This window comes from Homo sapiens, chromosome 1 (assembly GCF_000001405.40).
Source record: "Homo sapiens chromosome 1, GRCh38.p14 Primary Assembly".
Lineage (NCBI taxonomy): Eukaryota > Metazoa > Chordata > Mammalia > Primates > Hominidae > Homo > Homo sapiens.
In genome coordinates, this window is record NC_000001.11 from 186887079 (window position 1) to 186905016 (window position 17938).

Here is a 17938-nt window from a genome sequence, read left to right on the forward strand (position 1 = left end):
CTACATTTGGGGAAACACTGTTTTAAGCTCACTGTCATTGAACCATAGGTATTCAGAATGGGCCATATTTTGACTACACATTTGGGAGGACTTTCCCCTTTGGGATTTTTTTTTTCCTATTTATCACAAGAATTGTAACAAATTACTTGTAATCTGTTTTTCAAACAAGAGGTTTAAGTTGCTACTGATGAAGGGGAAATAGGCAAATAGAGAATATTTAAAATAGAGCTAGGAGTTTAGAAGCTGCCATGAGTTCATGAATCACATGATATATTACTTGGACAAAGCTGAAATGACAAATGGGTCTGTTATGACTTCAGGCAGGCGCTCCTTAAACTCCTGAAGTTTAGTAGTAAGTTTTACCACCCTGAAGCTATTTCTGGTGCATGTAGTTTCATGTCAACTTTATGGGAAGAAAAAAGATCTGTATTCCACACCCCCGACATTTTTTGTTTGTCAAGATTTAGATAAAAGGATGAGATGTAAAAGGGGTTTTTGCCCACATATTACATCTTTGCTTCACCACATGTTTGGCTGAAAATAATGAAGATGAGGCTGAGTTAGTGACTCAACACGCAATTGCCCTATAGGTGTTAATTGACAAAGCCATGAAATAAGTATAATGTACAGGAAAAAACAAATTCTACATTTAACTTTTTCTTTAATTCATTCCTTGAAACTTCTCTAAAGTATTGGGCTGTGTTTACTGTCAAAGTGGGCTGCCTTCCTTTTCAAATCTTCTAATTCTGTTTGCTACCATGCCAGTGATGGTTATAGATTATGCAAAGAAACTGAGCTATGTGATTATTGTAATCCAACTTTAAACTAGCCTCTTAAAACTTATTTTTATCCTATCTACCACTGTTATAGATATTTCTTAGCTTACAATGATTAGAGCTGATGCAGATTGCAAAATCAAAGTGTGCAGTTTTGGTAGTTTTCCACTGTCCAGCATCCTTTGACATCTTAACTCTGAAGTCTCTGGCTAAAGAATCAAGAGGAGAAATTAGAAACGCTGCCACTCTGGACATACATTTTAGAAAGCTGACTTACTTTCAAAGTAAAATTAAATAATGCAAATCCAACATGACAGCTATTAAACTGGATTCTGATTTTTTAAACAAAGTCTGTGGATGTTTTAATATATAAACATGGTGTGGGTATTGTTTTTATGGTATTTTCTTTATCATTTTGTCAGAATTAGAATTTGTTAAAAATATGACCCATTGAGAATCTAAAATGGCTGAGAAGATGGGTAGATAATGGTTTGACTCATGGTGCTTCTCAATTTGTCCTTTCCTTTTCCCATCTGGTGCCTTCCAAGGAACTTCACTTGCAGCTTGCTCCTTCTTGTTTGGGCCAAGTAGACCTCACCCTCCTCTTTCCCAAAGATTCAAGTAAAGATTAAGTCTGAAAAGGCAATTTCCCCACCTACGATTTGACCTTATTTGTGTGTAATAATCTGGGTGACTGAGTTACTAGTCACTGGGGTAGTGTAACTGCTTATCTTCAATTTACCTTGCCTCTAAAATTAGGCTATTAACATTTGACTCACTTCCATAATCCGAATTTTCAGTTTAGTGTTTGGCTCCCTATCAAGGCTGAACTGCTTGTGAATGAGCAATGCCTGGCATATAGTAGGCACTCATGTATTTGTTGAATGAATGAATGATGTTTGCCATTTGCATGCCTCCCCTTCCCACACACTCTTGTATTCCACGTTGGTTTTTGCTTGGCTTTGTTTTTTTTCTATTACTTCTTGGAAAATGGTTAAAAAAAAGAGCATTGGCCTTATGAGAAAAATCTGGCCCTATGAGATGATGTAGGGCTATGTTTTGTAACACATAATTTGAAGCATTAATTGAATACTTTCCTTAAAATTACATATTTTTCTTGATAATTTTCTACCAACTGCTATTCTAAATATGGAGTTTTACTTCTGATTTGCAATCCTGAGCACTGGTGATATGGTAGAAACATGGTTAAGGAAAAGAAGCAGTCACCTCCTGGTTGAAAATGTGATAATGTTACCCTATGACATGTTCTCTTCTTCTTTGGCCCATTTCACCTTATCATCCTTCCCACTCAATCTTTTTGTTCTCTAATTTGTATTCCATGGTCCTGTTGAGAGTTATAAGCACTGAGTTAGAAATGAGAATGACTGGCTTTCCCCTTTTGTCTAAAATAGGATATCAAAAGTGTGACCAGAAGATGATCCACATCAGTGTCAGCTAGACTATTTGTTAAAAATTGCAAGCCCTTAATTCCACTACAGATATGCAGACAATGGGTCTTCGGGGATGAAGGTCGGGGTCTATGTTTTTACAATAACCCTGGGCATTTGTGTTGCACTCTCACTTTTGCCCCACTGCTCTTTACCAATGATGTATAAGGTCCAAGCCGGAAAATTAAAGGCAGCCTCAAAGGCTGATACCTTGTTTGTAGATCCTCCCGTTTTATAATAACAACCACTAAACATACACATGCATCTAAAGAAGCTGATGACTACATAAAGAACTAGGAGCAATACTGAACAATTAAGTGAAAGACATTGATTACGTTTTTTGATGACCATAGCTGTTGTTGACAGACAACATCTATTTAAATTTTTTTGGGGGGGAAACCCAATCAATAGGTCAGAAACTATTATTTTTGCTTTTCCTTTATTTTCAACTGTTGGATCTTTTTGTTTAGACCTCTGTACTTCTTCTCTCCCCCCTCCCTCCCTCACTCTTGCACTCACCCTCTCTTTCTCTTCCTCTAATTCCAGCTCCTCTTTCCATAGAATCCATACCCTGTAATCTAATTTTTGTTACTGAGGAACATGATGTAATAAGAGAATGATTGTTGTAGTCAAATGACCCAGGTTCAAGAACTTGACCTGATACTTATTAGCTATGTGATATTGGACAGAATGCTTAATATTTCTCAGTTCCTGTTACTTTAACACTAAAATAAAGTACTTACATTATAGCGCGATTGTGAGATTTAAATGAGACTAATGTGTGTAAAGTACTTAACACAGATCCCTGTAGTCATTACTTAGTTATTTGTTGTTTTTGTTATTAATTATAATGGCCGCATGGAAAAGCACCTGTTAAACGGGAAAGTCAAGTCGATAGGTTAGGAAACCTTAAATATTGTAATTGTCGCTTTCTGTTGTTAGCTTCTGAAGATGTACAGCTGAGGAAGACAAGATCTTTGCCCTCAAGTTGTTTATAGTCTTGTAGGAAAAGACAGATAGATGTATAATTTCATCCATAAAGTATAGTGTGTCCAGTGCTGTAAGACATTAAAGGATTCGGTGGAATCCTAAAAAAGGAGTGATCAATACTTGCACAGTTTGGGTCACTCGCTTTGTTGCTAAGTGTATATGTAATGGGAGGAAATTAAAATAATTTCTTTATTTGCAATTGTTTTGTTCTATTTCAGTGGGCACACATATCATACCCTGATTCAAGTGGGTATTTATGTGAAATAGAAAAAACCGTTACTGGCCGGGCATGGTGGCTCATGCCTGTAATCCCAGCACTTCGGGAGTCTGAGGCGGGCAGATCAGGAGGTCAGGAGATCGAGACCATCCTGGCCAACATGGTGTAACCCTGTCTCTACTGAATATACAAAAATTAGCCGGGCATAGTGGCATGTGCCTGTAATCCCAGCTACTCTGGAGGCTGAGGCACGAAAATTGCTTGAACCAGGAGGCCGAGGTTGCAGTGAGCTGAGATTGTGCCACTGCACTCCAGCCTGGCAACAGAGCAAGACTCTGTCTCAAAAAAAAAAAAAAAGGAAAAGAAAAAAATTGTTGCTTCATAGAGACACCTCATTTCCATCTGAATATTGCCATAATAAATACATGTTGATTTTTAATATGAGTGCCACCCCTTAAAGTTGTTCAGTGTACAACCTGTACAACCATACAAGGCAACTCTATAACAATAAACAATATTCTTCTCACAATGACTTCCATTATTTTATCTGATAAAGTAAGCAGGATGATTTTTCTAACATTGACAAATATAATCTTTTTTTTAAAAAAAAGTATTTTTCAATTTTTTTTCTTTTTTACTTTTTACTTTTACTTTTTAATTTTTATGGGTACATAGTAGGTGTATATATTTATGGGGTAAGTGAAGTGTTTTGATATAGGTATGCAGTGTAAAGTAATCACATCATGGAGAATAGGGTATCCATCCTCTGAAGCATTTATGATTTGTTGCAAATAATCCAATTACACTCTTTTAGTTACTTTTAAGTGAACAATTAGGTTATTATTGACTATCGTCACCCTGTTGTGTTATCAAATAGCAAGTCTTATTCATTTTTCTGTTGTGTTTTTTTTGTATCCATTAACCATCCCCACCTCCCCTCCAGCCCCCTACTACCCTTCCCAGCCTCTGGTAATCATCCTTCTGCCCCCTCCATGGGTTCAACTGTTTTGATTCTTAGATCCCACAAATAAGTGAGAATATGTGCTGTTTGTCTTTCTGTGCCTGGCTTATTTCACTTAAGATAATGACTTCCAGTTCCATCCATGCAAATGGCGAGATCTCATTCTTCTTTATGGCTGAGTAACACTCCATTGTGTATATGTAACACATTTTATTTACCCATTCATCTGTTGATGGACACTTAGGTTGCTTCTAAATCTTAGCTATTGTAAATAGTGCTGCAATAAACACAGGAGTACAGATATCTCTTCAGTATACTGATTCCTTTTTTTTGAGTATATACTCAGCAGTGGGATTGCTTGGTCATATGGTAGCTCTATTTTTAGGTTTTTGAGGAACCTCCAAATTATTCTCCATAGTGGTTGTGCTAATTTACTTTCCCACCAACATTATACAAGAGATCCCTTTTCTCCACATCCTTGCCAGCATTTGTTATTGCCTGGATATAAGCCATTTTATCCAGGTGAGATGAGATCTCATTGTAATTTTGATTTGCGTTTCTCTTATGATTAATGATGTTCAGCACTTTTCATATGCTTGTTTCCCATTTGTATGTCTTCTTTTGAGAAATGTCTATTCAAATCATTTGCTCATTTTGTTGGTTACATTATTAGATGTTTTTCTACAGTTTTTTGAGCTCCTTATATATTCTGGTGATTAATTTCTTGTCAGATGGGTAGTTTGCAAATATTTTCTCCCATTCTGTGGGTTGTCTCTTCATTTTGTTGATTTTTTTTCCTTTGGTGTGCAAAAAAGCTTTTTAATTTGATGTGATCCCATTTGCCCATTTTTGCTTTGGTTGTCTGTGCCTGTGTGGTATTGCTCAAGAAATTTTTGCCCAGACTGTTCTCCTGGAGATTTTCCCCAATGTTTTCTTGTTGTAGTTTTATATTTTGAGATCTTAACATTTAAATTTTTAATCCATTTTTATTGATTATTGTATATGGCAAGAGATAGGAGTCTAGCTTCATTCTTCTGCATATGGAGATCCAGTTTTCCCAGCACCATTTATTGAAGAGACTGTTTTTTCCCCAGTGTATGTTCTTGGCACCTTTGTCAAAAATGAGTTCACAGTAGGTCTGTGCATTTGTCTCTAGCTTTAAGCCCATGATCTTGTCACTATCACAGTCCTGGGTGAAGGTCATGTTGGCGTTAGCTGGGTGACATTGTTATCATCCTGTAGTAGCTTGACTGAGATGTTGACTGCTTTGAACCTGTCCTCTCTAGATAGATGGAGGAATTCTGAATAAATCACTTAATAAACAATTCCCTCTCACAGGACTATTATGAAGGACAGCGACATATGTAAAAAGTATCTACCCTATGATGTTTTTCTATTATGTGTATATTATCTTGTCTCAGACATTTAAATACATCACTACAGATTCATTGAGAATAAACTGACAACATATATTAATAAAAAAATTAGGAACTATGAATCACATTTCTACCTCCTTCTTGTTTGTGTTTACTATCTGTAGTTGATACTCCAGATCCCTATGTGGAACTTTTTATCTCTACAACCCCTGACAGCAGGAAGAGAACAAGACATTTCAATAATGACATAAACCCTGTGTGGAATGAGACCTTTGAATTTATTTTGGATCCTAATCAGGAAAATGTTTTGGAGGTAAGTGAACCATTTGGATGCTGTTAGATGGTTGTGATTCATGTTGAGAGACATGCTTGAGTTTGTCCTTTTACTGCCTTTTTGTTCCTGTTAGCTATAGTTGGAGTTAGACTGGGCAGCTTGGTAGACTAGAATCTAAATGGTGTCTGTCAAGTAATATGAGTGTCTATCAGGACATACAGGAGTTAGGTAGGGTTGGGAAAACTGCTGTCCTCCCCACGTGCTTTGGAGAAAACATATTTTCTGCTATCAAGGAGAGAATCCCAGTATAACAGAATAAAAATATTTTAAATTGCCTTTTTAAAAAGTGAAAATTAATTTTTCCCAAAATATTTGTATCGATTTTCTGCATTAATATCTTTCTCATATTCCAAAGTAGAGAGGAGATAAAGTTTCGTTTTTGAAAACATGATAATTGAATAAATCAATCAGGAAAATGTGAAAAATTATTATCTTATAGCAAACACAGTACTCAGAAGGAAAAGATTGGCCGGGCACTGTGGCTCACCCCACAGCATTTTCAGAGCACCAAGGCAGGCAGATCACTTGAGGTCAGGAGCTCGAGACCAGCCTGGCCAACACGGTGAGACCCTGTCTCTATTAAAAATACAAAAATTTGCTGGATGTGGTGGCGCTTGCTTGTAATCCCAGCTACTCAGGAGGCTGAGGCAGGAGATTCGCTTGAATCTGGGAGGTGGAGGTTGCAGTGAGCCGAGATCCCGCCACTGCACTCCAGCCTGGTGAGTGAGACCCTGTCTCAAAAAAAAAAAAAAAAAGGAAAAGATAAAAGTATTGTTACTAATTAAATATTGAGATCTTCAAGGACTCTTAAATATCATTTGAGAGCTTCATTTTTTTAAATGTGGTGGAAATTATAGATGTCATTTCCAAAGATCCATGGGAAATTTTATTTTTGTGCTTTACATTTTACTCTGTAGATTACGTTAATGGATGCCAATTATGTCATGGATGAAACTCTAGGGACAGCAACATTTACTGTATCTTCTATGAAGGTGGGAGAAAAGAAAGAAGTTCCTTTTATTTTCAACCAAGTAAGTAACACTGCAGAATTATATTCCAACCTTATGTTAGATAAAGTCTATTGATTCTGGGAAGTTGGGTTTAACACTTGGAAAATTGTATTTATTTGTTCATAGAATGTTTGCTTTTTAAAGAGAAAATTTTGTTTTTCTTTTTACTTTTTGTCCTAATTTTAAAAATTATTCTGACATCTATAAACTTTGGTTGAGGTATTATACCAAACACTACTAAGGCTTTAATCTCCTTTGTTGCTCCAAATGATGACATTGGGATTCAGCAATGCCTTTGGACTCTAATGGCAAAATTTAATACAAAAAATTGGGGAGGATAAAAAGACATGCAAAATCTGAGAGCTGGGGGCAGAGAGAGAGAGAGAGAGAACAAGTAAACAAACTCAGTGGAAAATGTTAGGAAATTCAGACTATTCCAAAACCACATGTTTAGTAATAAATCTCTCTGGGGGAATATTTCTGTCTCAGAGAATCCTCAAGTAAATAGGGACAAAGCAGTGAAAGGCCAAAAGGATTGATGGGAGGTTATTGTTATCTTTGACTTTCTAGGTTTGCTACATTTCTGAAATTTTGATAGTTTATTTTGGAATAATGAAACCTTAGGTAAATAATTTTGTACAGAATAAACTCATTGGATTTTGAATTCTGTAAGAAACTAATTTAGTAGTTTGTAGTAAGAAATGTAAACAACTGGTGGGCCTGTATGTGTAAGGCTGGTTACCATACTAATTTCTTGTTGTTGGGAGAGACAATGTGTCTCTGCGCATCTTTAGAATGACTTTCCAAGTCCCTACATTCACCTCAACCTACCTCTCCCTTAACTCTCAGCTTCTCCATGTTGCCTTTCCTGTTACTGTCCCAAATGAGTCTTCCTCCTTTGAGTCTCCATGATAATTATCTATGGTATTCATTGGGACTACATTATTTATACTGTTCAATGTTTCATTTTCCTCTTGTAAACTAAAATCCTCTAAGTCAGGAAACTTGAAATACTGATTAAATGTGCCTACAGAATTAATTACATAGATGACATTTATGGAATGAATGTGTACCTATTTAGAAACCAACTTAGCCCAAATGAGCTTCTTGACTAGTCCATGCAATCAGAATGGCCCAGGTACCTTGAGGATGCTCTGGTCCATGCACTCCTTGGTGCTTCCACCTGCTGCAGAAAGCATTTCTTCTGTCTCATGCCAAGAGATGCACTCACCACAATTCTGTCGACCCCTTTTAAAGCTATTTCATTCATTCCTTTTACAAACATTTATTGAAGATCTGCTGTGTGCCAGCCATTGTGTTTTGTTCAAGGAATATAGAGAATAAGGTACAGGAAGTTCTTCCCTCAATTATCTCCCTCTGGGAAGGAGGTGAGTAAAGGTTGAAATGAGAAGTGGAAGTAGGGAGATACATACGTGTGATAAAAAGAAATCCCCAGACAGTGAGATAAGTACCAATGAGACATGTATAGAGTGCTATGGGAAGGCAGAATAAAGAACGATTGTGTTGTGAGAGGAGGCTAGGGATGCCTCCATAGCAGTAGCTGATTTTGAACAAGTTGAACAGTGAACTGTGGTTAACACTTTGGCATTGAAAGACAGGCTGTTTGGTGTTTAAATTCCAGTTCTGTTCCTTGCCATCTGTTTTATTCTGGGAAAATAACACTTAACTCTTCCGTTCCTCAGTTTAATCATCTGTAAAATGGAAATAATATTTTCTAAGGGAATCATTATGATTAAGCAAGTTAATTTTATTTATGTATATATAATACATGCATATGATAATATATAATATAATGTATATTACATATGAATACATTTAATTATAATTTGATATATTTTATGGTTCAGTATATACTGACATATTATTTAGTTTATATATTAAGCATATAATTCAATAAGTGATTGAAAGTGATTAAAAGTATGTTAATACTATAAAGTAATTAAAATAAGTGATTAAATATATCGATACTATACACATATAGATGTGCACATGTATACATACAGGGCTTAGAACAGTTTCTGGTACGTATTAGGCACTATATAAATGTTACTTGTCATTGTTGCTGTTATTACACCTTAAGAAAAGAGCAGGATTTCATCAGTAAAGTAGTTATGAGCATTCTGGGCAGAACAGATTGCTGAAGGCCAGAGTCTTGAAAGAAGAAAGCAAGCTGGGGCATAGCAAGATAAAGGGCTTGGCAGATCCATTTTGCTGAATCATAGGGAAGAGAGTGTAGAGGTGGTCAAAGGCTAAAATCTTCAGGCCTTAGTTATTGCATGTTTCTAGCATAGGCTCTCAGTAAATGTCTGTTGAGGGCTTTGGAAGCATGGATTGGACCTCCTGAAATCATTTTTCTTTTCTTTCTTCACTTTAGTTCATGATACAAAGACTGTTTTTGAGAGAAGATATTGTGGACAACATTCATTTCCTCTCCTCTGTCATTTCCTATGGCTAGATGTGTAATCCCTAGGGCTCTAAAAAGGCTTTCCACATTCCTGAATTTAAAGAAGATTATGTAACTATTTTTTTTAGTGTGCCTGAGAAAATAGTTGTCCAAGCAGGCTTTTCTTCATTACTCTGTTTTCAGACTTCTTTGTAGTTTTATCTGAATGATAATCCTTTGAGCTGCAGGGGTAGTTGGGAGAGAAGTAAGCATGATGGCTAAGGGGAGAGTCCCCTGCTTGTTCCTCAGATCATGTGGGAGTGCCCTGTGCCAGCCACCCAGCTATCCAGCCTCTGCCCTCAGCTTGGAATCCCAGTCTTCCTGATGATCTTTCTACAGTGTTTACAGAGGTTGTAAGAGAGAGAAGTTGGTGAGGGAGCAATGGGAGAGAAGAGATGTAAGCCTTGAAGATGGTTATGGCAACACAGTGGAGGAAAAACAGCACTTAGATTTGGTGAAGGGTAAACAAATTCTTCAAGGCAAAATAGTATTAGCAAAAACTCTTTCATAGTTTTGTCATCCAAACGTTAATACTGAGTCAACATAGAGTGATTTCTGTGTCTAGGAGACAGCTGGAGAAATAACAGGAGCTTCCAAATGGAGATGGGCAGATTCCCAGAGCCCTGCTTTATTCACTTGGAGTCGAAACTGGGAATTGAGAGAATGGACCCTCGTTTTGTCTCTGTCATTCATAGCTCTCCAGAATGTTTGAATTGTTATCCTTTCTTTCTGAGTCTTATTTTCTTCATCTGTAAAATGAAGGGTTGGATTAAATTTTTCTAAGCTCCTAATTTGTAAAATTCTATGACCTAGAAAGAATACTTCTCTTCTTTTAAAAATATTTTATTTTTATTTTTATTTATTTATTTTTTGAGACAGGGTCTCGCTCTGTTGCCCAGGCTGGAGTGCAGTGGCACAATCTTGCTTCACTGCAACTTCTGCCTCCCAAGTTCAAGCCATTCCCGTGTCTCAGCCTCCCAAGTAGCTGAGATTACAGGCACGTGCCATCATGCCTGGCCAATTTTTGTATTTTTAGTAGAGACGGGGTTTCACCATGTTGGCCAGGCTGGTCTCAAACTCCTAACCTCAAGTTATCCTCCTGCCTCAGCCTCCCAAAGTGCTGGGATTGCAGGCGTGAGCCACCACACCCAGCCTGTTTTATTTTTTATGTTAGGTTCAGGAGGTACATGTACAGGTTTGTTATATGGGTATGTTGCATGATACTAAGGTTTGGGCTTCTAATGGTCCTGTCATCCAAGTAGTGAACATGGTATCCAATAGGTAGTTTTTCAACTCTTGCTCCTCTCCTTCTCTCCTTACTTTTGGAGTCTCCAGTGTCTATTTTTCTCATCATTATGTTCCTGTGTACCCAATGTTTAGCTTGCACTTATAAGTACAATACCTTATTTTCATTTGGCCTTCTTCACCCAAAAGCTTCCAATTCCTCTCATTTTACAGATATGGAAGCTAAATGATAATAATGCAAGAATAAAAATCTATCATTTATATAGTATTATATAATTTAAAGATACTAACTTGTAAATAGATTGTGTTATTAATATGAGAAGAATATAAGCCTCTATTGTGCTCCTAAAATGTTGCTAAATATTAAAAAAACTGCACAAAAAGTACAATTTTCAAGGAACTAAGAATCTGTTTGGAAAGTATACTTTCATGTGTAAACAGACAGATAATAATAAGCAGTATCATGGGGTATCTATTCATTGATTTACTTGAGAAGTTTTTATTAAACAACTGTTATGTTCCAGACAGTATTCTAGGTGATAGACAGTATCCTGTGAACTCTCTAGGGAGCTTGCATTCTAATAGGGAAAGTAAACAGGCAATGATGAGCAAAAGAATGATCAACACGCCATCAGCTAATGAGAAATACTGTGAAGAAAATAAAGGTATGCAACAGAAAACAGTTGGTGGGCAACTGAAATTTGTATAGTCACAGGAGACCTCTCTAAAGCATTATTATTCTTTAAATTTTATTATAAAAATGTTTGACATAGAAAAAGTTGAAAGATTTATACAGTGAACATCATATAACTGCCACCTAGATTCTATAACTACCATTTTACCAAAAAAACTTACTTTTCTGATACATTTAAAAGCAGGTGGCCAACAACAGTATACTTTACCCCTACAAACTTCAGTGTATCATTATCTAGAGTTTAATATTTATGTATAATAAATGGACAGTGCAGGCAATGTGTGCAGTGAGTCATAAGAAGAAATTATTTATTCATTAATTCATTCATTTGACAAATAACTATTGAGCCCTCACTATGTGGTAGACACTCTTTAGGCACTGCCTATTTCAGCAGTGAACAAAATGAACAAGAATCCCTACCCTCAGGAAACTTACATTCTACTTAGCGAGACAGATGAAAAGCAAGGTAAATATGTAAAAGATACTCCTGCCAGATGATGATAATGACAAGTGCTAACTAAACTAGGGGCAGAGAATGGGGCAGTGTGTATATGTGTGTAAAGGGGTCACAAAGGCAGTTCCAAAAATTTAGTTAAGAAAGGTATCTTTGAGGATATCTGAGGACAGAAGGCACTCCAAGTAGAAAGGCTCTGAAGCAGAGTTGGCCTGGCAAGATGAGTAACAGCAAGTAGGAGAGTGTGGCTGGAGCACAAAGAAAGACTGGGAGGGAGACCGGGAGGAGATAAGGTCAGAGAGGTGAAGACAGGGCTGGGGGAGCAGGATCATTGCGGGTGACAGTGGACATCAATGTCTTAGGCATGTCCTTAAAGAAAGGGTGTGGTTGAGGTGGTTGGGTCTCTAAAGGGGCAGAAGGTAGTCCTGGTGAAGAGAACAGCCTATCTGAAGGCACTGGACTAGAAAGGACAGAGCATGTTTGGGAAACCGTGCCTAGACAAGTTTGATGGGAACAGATCATCCATTCATGAAGGAAGAAGAGGTACACTGGGATGAGACTATGGCAGAGCAGAAATGTGAGATGTAAGAGTTCTGATGTTATCTTACTTACAGTAGTGGGTTATGGAAGGTTCGTGACCAGGTAATGGGGAACTGAGAGGGAACTTCTGGCTTTTTCCTCAGAAGCATTAGCAAGCAATGTTAACAGGTAGAGATACCAAGAATGTTGATACTGAAAATGAAAAGGTGGGTGCAGCTTACCACAGACTGCTTCTGTGGAAAGTGACTAGAATGGCGAGTGCAGGGTGACTTGAGGAAAGTCACACTTGGCACAGCTTTAATGTGTCAAGTAGAGTTGAATGCAATGATTGCTTAGAAGCAGTGAGGATCCGCTGAAGGTGGAAAGCTGAATTACAGTGAATTCAGCTCTTTCTTAGACTTTGATTTTATCACTCAACTTTTATAACTTTGTTTTTTGGAGGAGAAAGACAATTTTAGGGCTGCCATTGATAAAATCTGGGTTAAACTGTATTTGTTGGAGTCAAAAATTTAGAACATCAGAGTTGTTGTTTGAGAGATGCTGGCACAACCTGCTGCTTTTGACTCAGACTCAGAGTCAGATGGCCACTTCCCAAGATGAAATCATGATTCTCCTACTTATTAACCATGTGATGGTGGACATGTTATCTTTTCTGCCTTTGCCGTGCATCCTCATCTGTAAAACAGGGTTACATGTAGTACCTACCTCTTAGGTTGTGGTTATAATTAAATAGGTTAATGCGTAAAACATATTAAGATACTTCCTGGCCCATTAAGCACTAAATAAATATTAAATATTCTCACTCTAATTATAATTGACCAGATTTAACTAAATGTGTATCATGTGCTTTATGAAGCTGATTTAACTGGATATCAAACATACTTATTTGTTTGAACTTACTGACCAAAATGAACTTGTTATTTAAATACTAAATGTAGAGCTTATCAATGCAGTGATCATTTGTTTCAGGATAGTTCAGAATGTGCCAGTCACTCATGACTGAATATGTCAAATGTGGTTTGGGGTTATAGTGGCCCATTTTAAAGTGGGAAGGTCTAGAATCTTCAGAATTTAGAGTGTTTTGTGTAAGGAAAGTAGCCCGCTTCAAAAGAATCATGGAAATGCCTAGGCTTAGAAGCAACACAGATAAGATTATGCTTCTTTATTTCTCTGGATGAAATTAGTTTGTTTTGGCCAATACTTTGAGGAAAGTTGTCTCTAAGTTGACCTTGTGTTTTAGTTTGCCATCTGTATTTAGAAGTTGGTGTTAAAAATAGCCATTCCTCATGGCTCCTGTGGCATCTATCTGATTTTGGCTGATTGCTTTCTTTGATTGTTGCTTATTCATGAGTGCAACTTGAAAATGAATAAGATAGTTCCACAGAAGAGATAGTGATAAAGCTGAAAAAAAGAAGGGAGTTTTTATGGCTGAATTCAGAATGTTGTTAGTCTCAGGATGATGTCATTGGAAAATCACGTATTGATGTTTGAAAACAAAGAGGGCAATTTACGTAAGTTATTGAGACAAAGTGGAGTTTGGAGGGAAAACAAGAGAACGATGTAATTTTGTGAGAAATTTGAGAGACCTTTCGCTAAGATGTTAAAACTGTTAGATATTGTTGCAGGACAGAGTTCAAATGTGGCTCAAGTAATTCCTGGCTTTAATAGAGAATGCATTTTTATTTTGGGTCACTAACAATTGAAACAAGTGAGACTTTTATGACTTTTATGACAATTTATAACTTTTAAATTTTAGGGTGTTTCAGAATGCTCTTGCATTCTTGGGATTCCTCTGTTGGATGGTAAGTTCTATCATGGAGTAGAACGTGACTAGCTTATTTACCATTGTGTACCCATCCTGGCACACATTAGGCACTTGGATCATTTTTGGATGAATGAATATATGAATGCACTTACAGGAGGTGCTATAAACCTGGGAAGTGCTTAGACAGGAGTAGTGAAAGTAATGAAGTTTAAAAGAGAAAAGTTAGACAGTCTGAGAAAAAAGAAGTAATAGAGTGGTTTGGTAGTAATGCTTTAGGAACTCTGGTTTCATTGTATGAAAGCTAATGGTTACCCAGATCTTCAGAATTTCCACTGATGTCCATGTAGGAAAAAGGACCTTAAATTAAGGAACATGAGATTATCATCAAATGTAAGGAGGAAACTATGAGAGTGTGGAATGTGGCCACAGGGAAGACAATGGTCTTTAAAAGTCTTTCAAGTCTGTTAAGAACAATTTTTTTGTGTGTGTGGGTTTGGGGGGTGGACACAATTATCCTGAAATCTTGGGTAATGGATTAGATGATTCATGGTAGGAAAAGCTAATTTGTTTTACTAAAAATATTATGTGTAGCTATATGTTGCTTAACAATGGGGATACATGCTGAGAAATGCATCCTTAGGTGACTTCATTATTGTGTGAACATCATAAAGTATGCTTACACAAACCTAGATGGTACAGCCTGCTATACACCTAGGCTATATGGTGTAGCCTATTGCTCCTAAGCTGCAAGCCTGTATAGCACGTTACTGCACTGAATACAATAGGCATTTGCAGCACAATGGTAAGTATTTGCATATCTAAACAAACATATCTAAACGTACAAAAGATACAATAAAAATATAGCATTATAATCTTATGGGGACCACTATTGCAAATATGTTTCATCATTAAAACATCACTATGCAGTACATGACTGTATATTGAAAAATGACTCTCAATTCATACAAAACCACATCCAGGCCATCATCAATCATTCTATACGACAAATGCTCCTTCTAACAACCCCACAATATCACCCCTTATCACAAAATCTTTCTTCAGTTTAATCTCTCCCACTCTAGTTCCATGCTGCCCCTAGTCCGGCTCGAAGCAGCCCTGAGAAACATCGCCCATTATCTCTCCATACCACCCCCCAAAATTTTTGCTGCCTCAACACTTCACCACTATTTTGTTTTGTTTTTCTTATTAATTGCACGTACACATCCAGGTAGCCTGAGGCAACTGAAGAACGACAAAAGAAGTGAAAATGGCCAGTTCCTGCCTTAACTGATGACCTTACCTTGTGACATTCCTTCTCCTGGACAATAAGTCTCCGGAGCTCCCCACTGAGCACCTTGTTACCCCCGCCCCTGCCCACAAGAGAACAATCCTCTTTAACTGTAATTTTCTACTACCTACCCAAATCCTATAAAACTGCCCCACCCCTATCTCCCCTATCTCCCCTTGCTGACTCCTTTTTCGGACTCAGTCCGCCTACACCCTAGTGATTAAAAAGCTTTATTGCTCAAAAAAAAAAAAAAGAAAAAAGAAAAGAAAAAGAAAAATGATTTTACCAGTGTCTTATTCAACTTTTAAACATGCAGAATTTATTAGATGTGAGTTTGCATGTATTGATAGGGTTGTAATTTCTGCTTTGCACTTGGATTGCCTCCTTGTCAGATCCACATCCTGTTCCTTCCTTACACGATTGAGGTACAATGTACGGAAACATGATTCTAAGTAAAATTGACCCTTTAAAAATGACTTTATTTATTATCCTGCACAGGTCAAGTAAATATGGATAAAGCAGAACATATTATGTAATTCTCTTGAAAGATGTGAATAATGATTGAATCAATATGATGATTAATTGCTGTTTGTTTCTACCTAGAAAAAAAAAAGAGTAAATTAGGGATCAGAATTCAAAATAATGTTTTATTGAAAGTAAATGTTGTAAATATTGGAGTACATAAGGGAAGTCATAGCATATTTGAAGAACCCTTTACTAATAGGATAGATTCTCAAGTTTGAAATTATTTTGCTATATGCATCTTTTTTGTAATAATCATTTTAAAGCAGGGGTCCCCAACCCCTGGTTCTGGTCTATGGCAAGTTAGGACCTAGGCTCCGCAGCAGGAGGTGAGAGTTGGACGAAGGAGCAAAGCTTCATCTGTATTTACAGTAGCTCCCCATCACTCGCATTGCTGCTCCGCCTCCTGTAAGATCAGCGGTGGCATTACATTCTCACAGGAGCATGAACCCTATTGTGAACTACAAGTGTGAAGGATCTAGGTTCATGCTGCTTATGAGAATATAATGCCTGAGGATCTGTCACTGTCCCCCTTCACCCCCACATGGAAGGCTTAGTTGCAGGAAACAAGCTCAGGGCTCCCACTGATTCTATGTTATGGTGAGTTGTATAATTATTTCATTATATATTACAATGTAATAATAATATAAATAAAGTGCACAATAAATGTAATGCACTTGAATCACAAAACCATCCCTGCTCCTACCCCGCCACCCTGGTCCATGTTAAAATTGTCTTCCACAAAACCGGTCCCTGGTGCCAAAAATGTTGGGGACTGCTGTTTTAAAGCACTTCCTTATTTTCAGGCACTATGCTTGTTGCTTTAAGCTTCACTATTTCAAAATGACTCTGGAGAGTTTTCAAGATAATTAGTGGGTTAGATCCTTTAAAAATTATTTGAAAGGCTGAAATGGCTTTTAGTTTTTATAGTTTATCTCCTCCAGTTCTCCACACTCTCCTTTAACTGAAAATCTCCAATTGTAAACATCTAAAATTGCTTTCCGCTGGGGAATTTAAAGATGACATTGCTGCTTTTCACAAGAATACATAATGGACACAACCAACTTCTTCCTAAAAAAGGTGGAGTTCTAATTAGTTCTAGCTCTAAGCTAAGTATTAGGGTGTTGGGGGAAGCCTGGAAGAGGTGATCATTCTTCTTTCTAATTGCCCTAATAATACAAGCAGCATGGAAGCCTGTAATGCAGAGATGCTTTATGCCATGTGTGGGAAGAAGTTTACAGTAATTGTTTAATGCCTCACAGGAAGTACGTTTTTATCTGAATGACATGTTCTAGGTAAAAGGTGCAGAGAGATTATAAATATCAAGCTTATCATGCATAGCATGTCTGAACATAGTGCACCAAGCAAGAGGATTTTAAATTTCCTCCTGGTTGTGGGTGACCCACTTGTGCAATGAGGAAGTGAGGATCCTAATCCGTGTGACAAGAACCTTGGCAGCACAGCCTGTAACATTCAAAATGGCAGAAAAATCCTGTGCCTTCTCTTCCGTTATCCTGCCTTTGTTTAAAGAGTCTTGTCACTCCATCCAGGATCATGAATGTCTTAGCCAAGAAATGTTGGTAGATACATAAAGTGTGTGCTAATGGAGAAGACAAATTTGACTATAAATGCAGCATTGTTGATTTTCCTTTTATTCAATGGAGCTGTCAGAACAAACAGGCAGGGATATATATATATTTTTTTTTTTGAGACAGAATTTTCACTCTTGTTGCCTAGGCTGGAGTACAGTGGCGCGATCTCAGCTCACTGCAACCTCCGCCTGCTGGGTTCAAGTGATTCTCCTACCTCAGCCTCCCGAGTAGCTGAGATTACAAGCATGGGCCACCATGCCTG

General features: G+C 37.3%; 1 protein-coding gene across 5 annotated transcripts in view; it reads left to right on the forward strand.

The window, feature by feature from the left end:
* Positions 1–17938, forward strand: part of PLA2G4A (phospholipase A2 group IVA) — a 160033-nt gene that overhangs the window by 58130 nt on the left and 83965 nt on the right. For all 5 annotated transcript variants that reach the window (XM_011509642.3, NM_024420.3, NM_001311193.2 and 2 more), the window contains 2 exons: positions 5933–6081; positions 7020–7133. In XM_011509642.3, coding sequence (XP_011507944.1) covers positions 5933–6081; positions 7020–7133 — 263 coding nt within the window. The remainder of the gene's footprint in view (positions 1–5932; positions 6082–7019; positions 7134–17938) is intronic.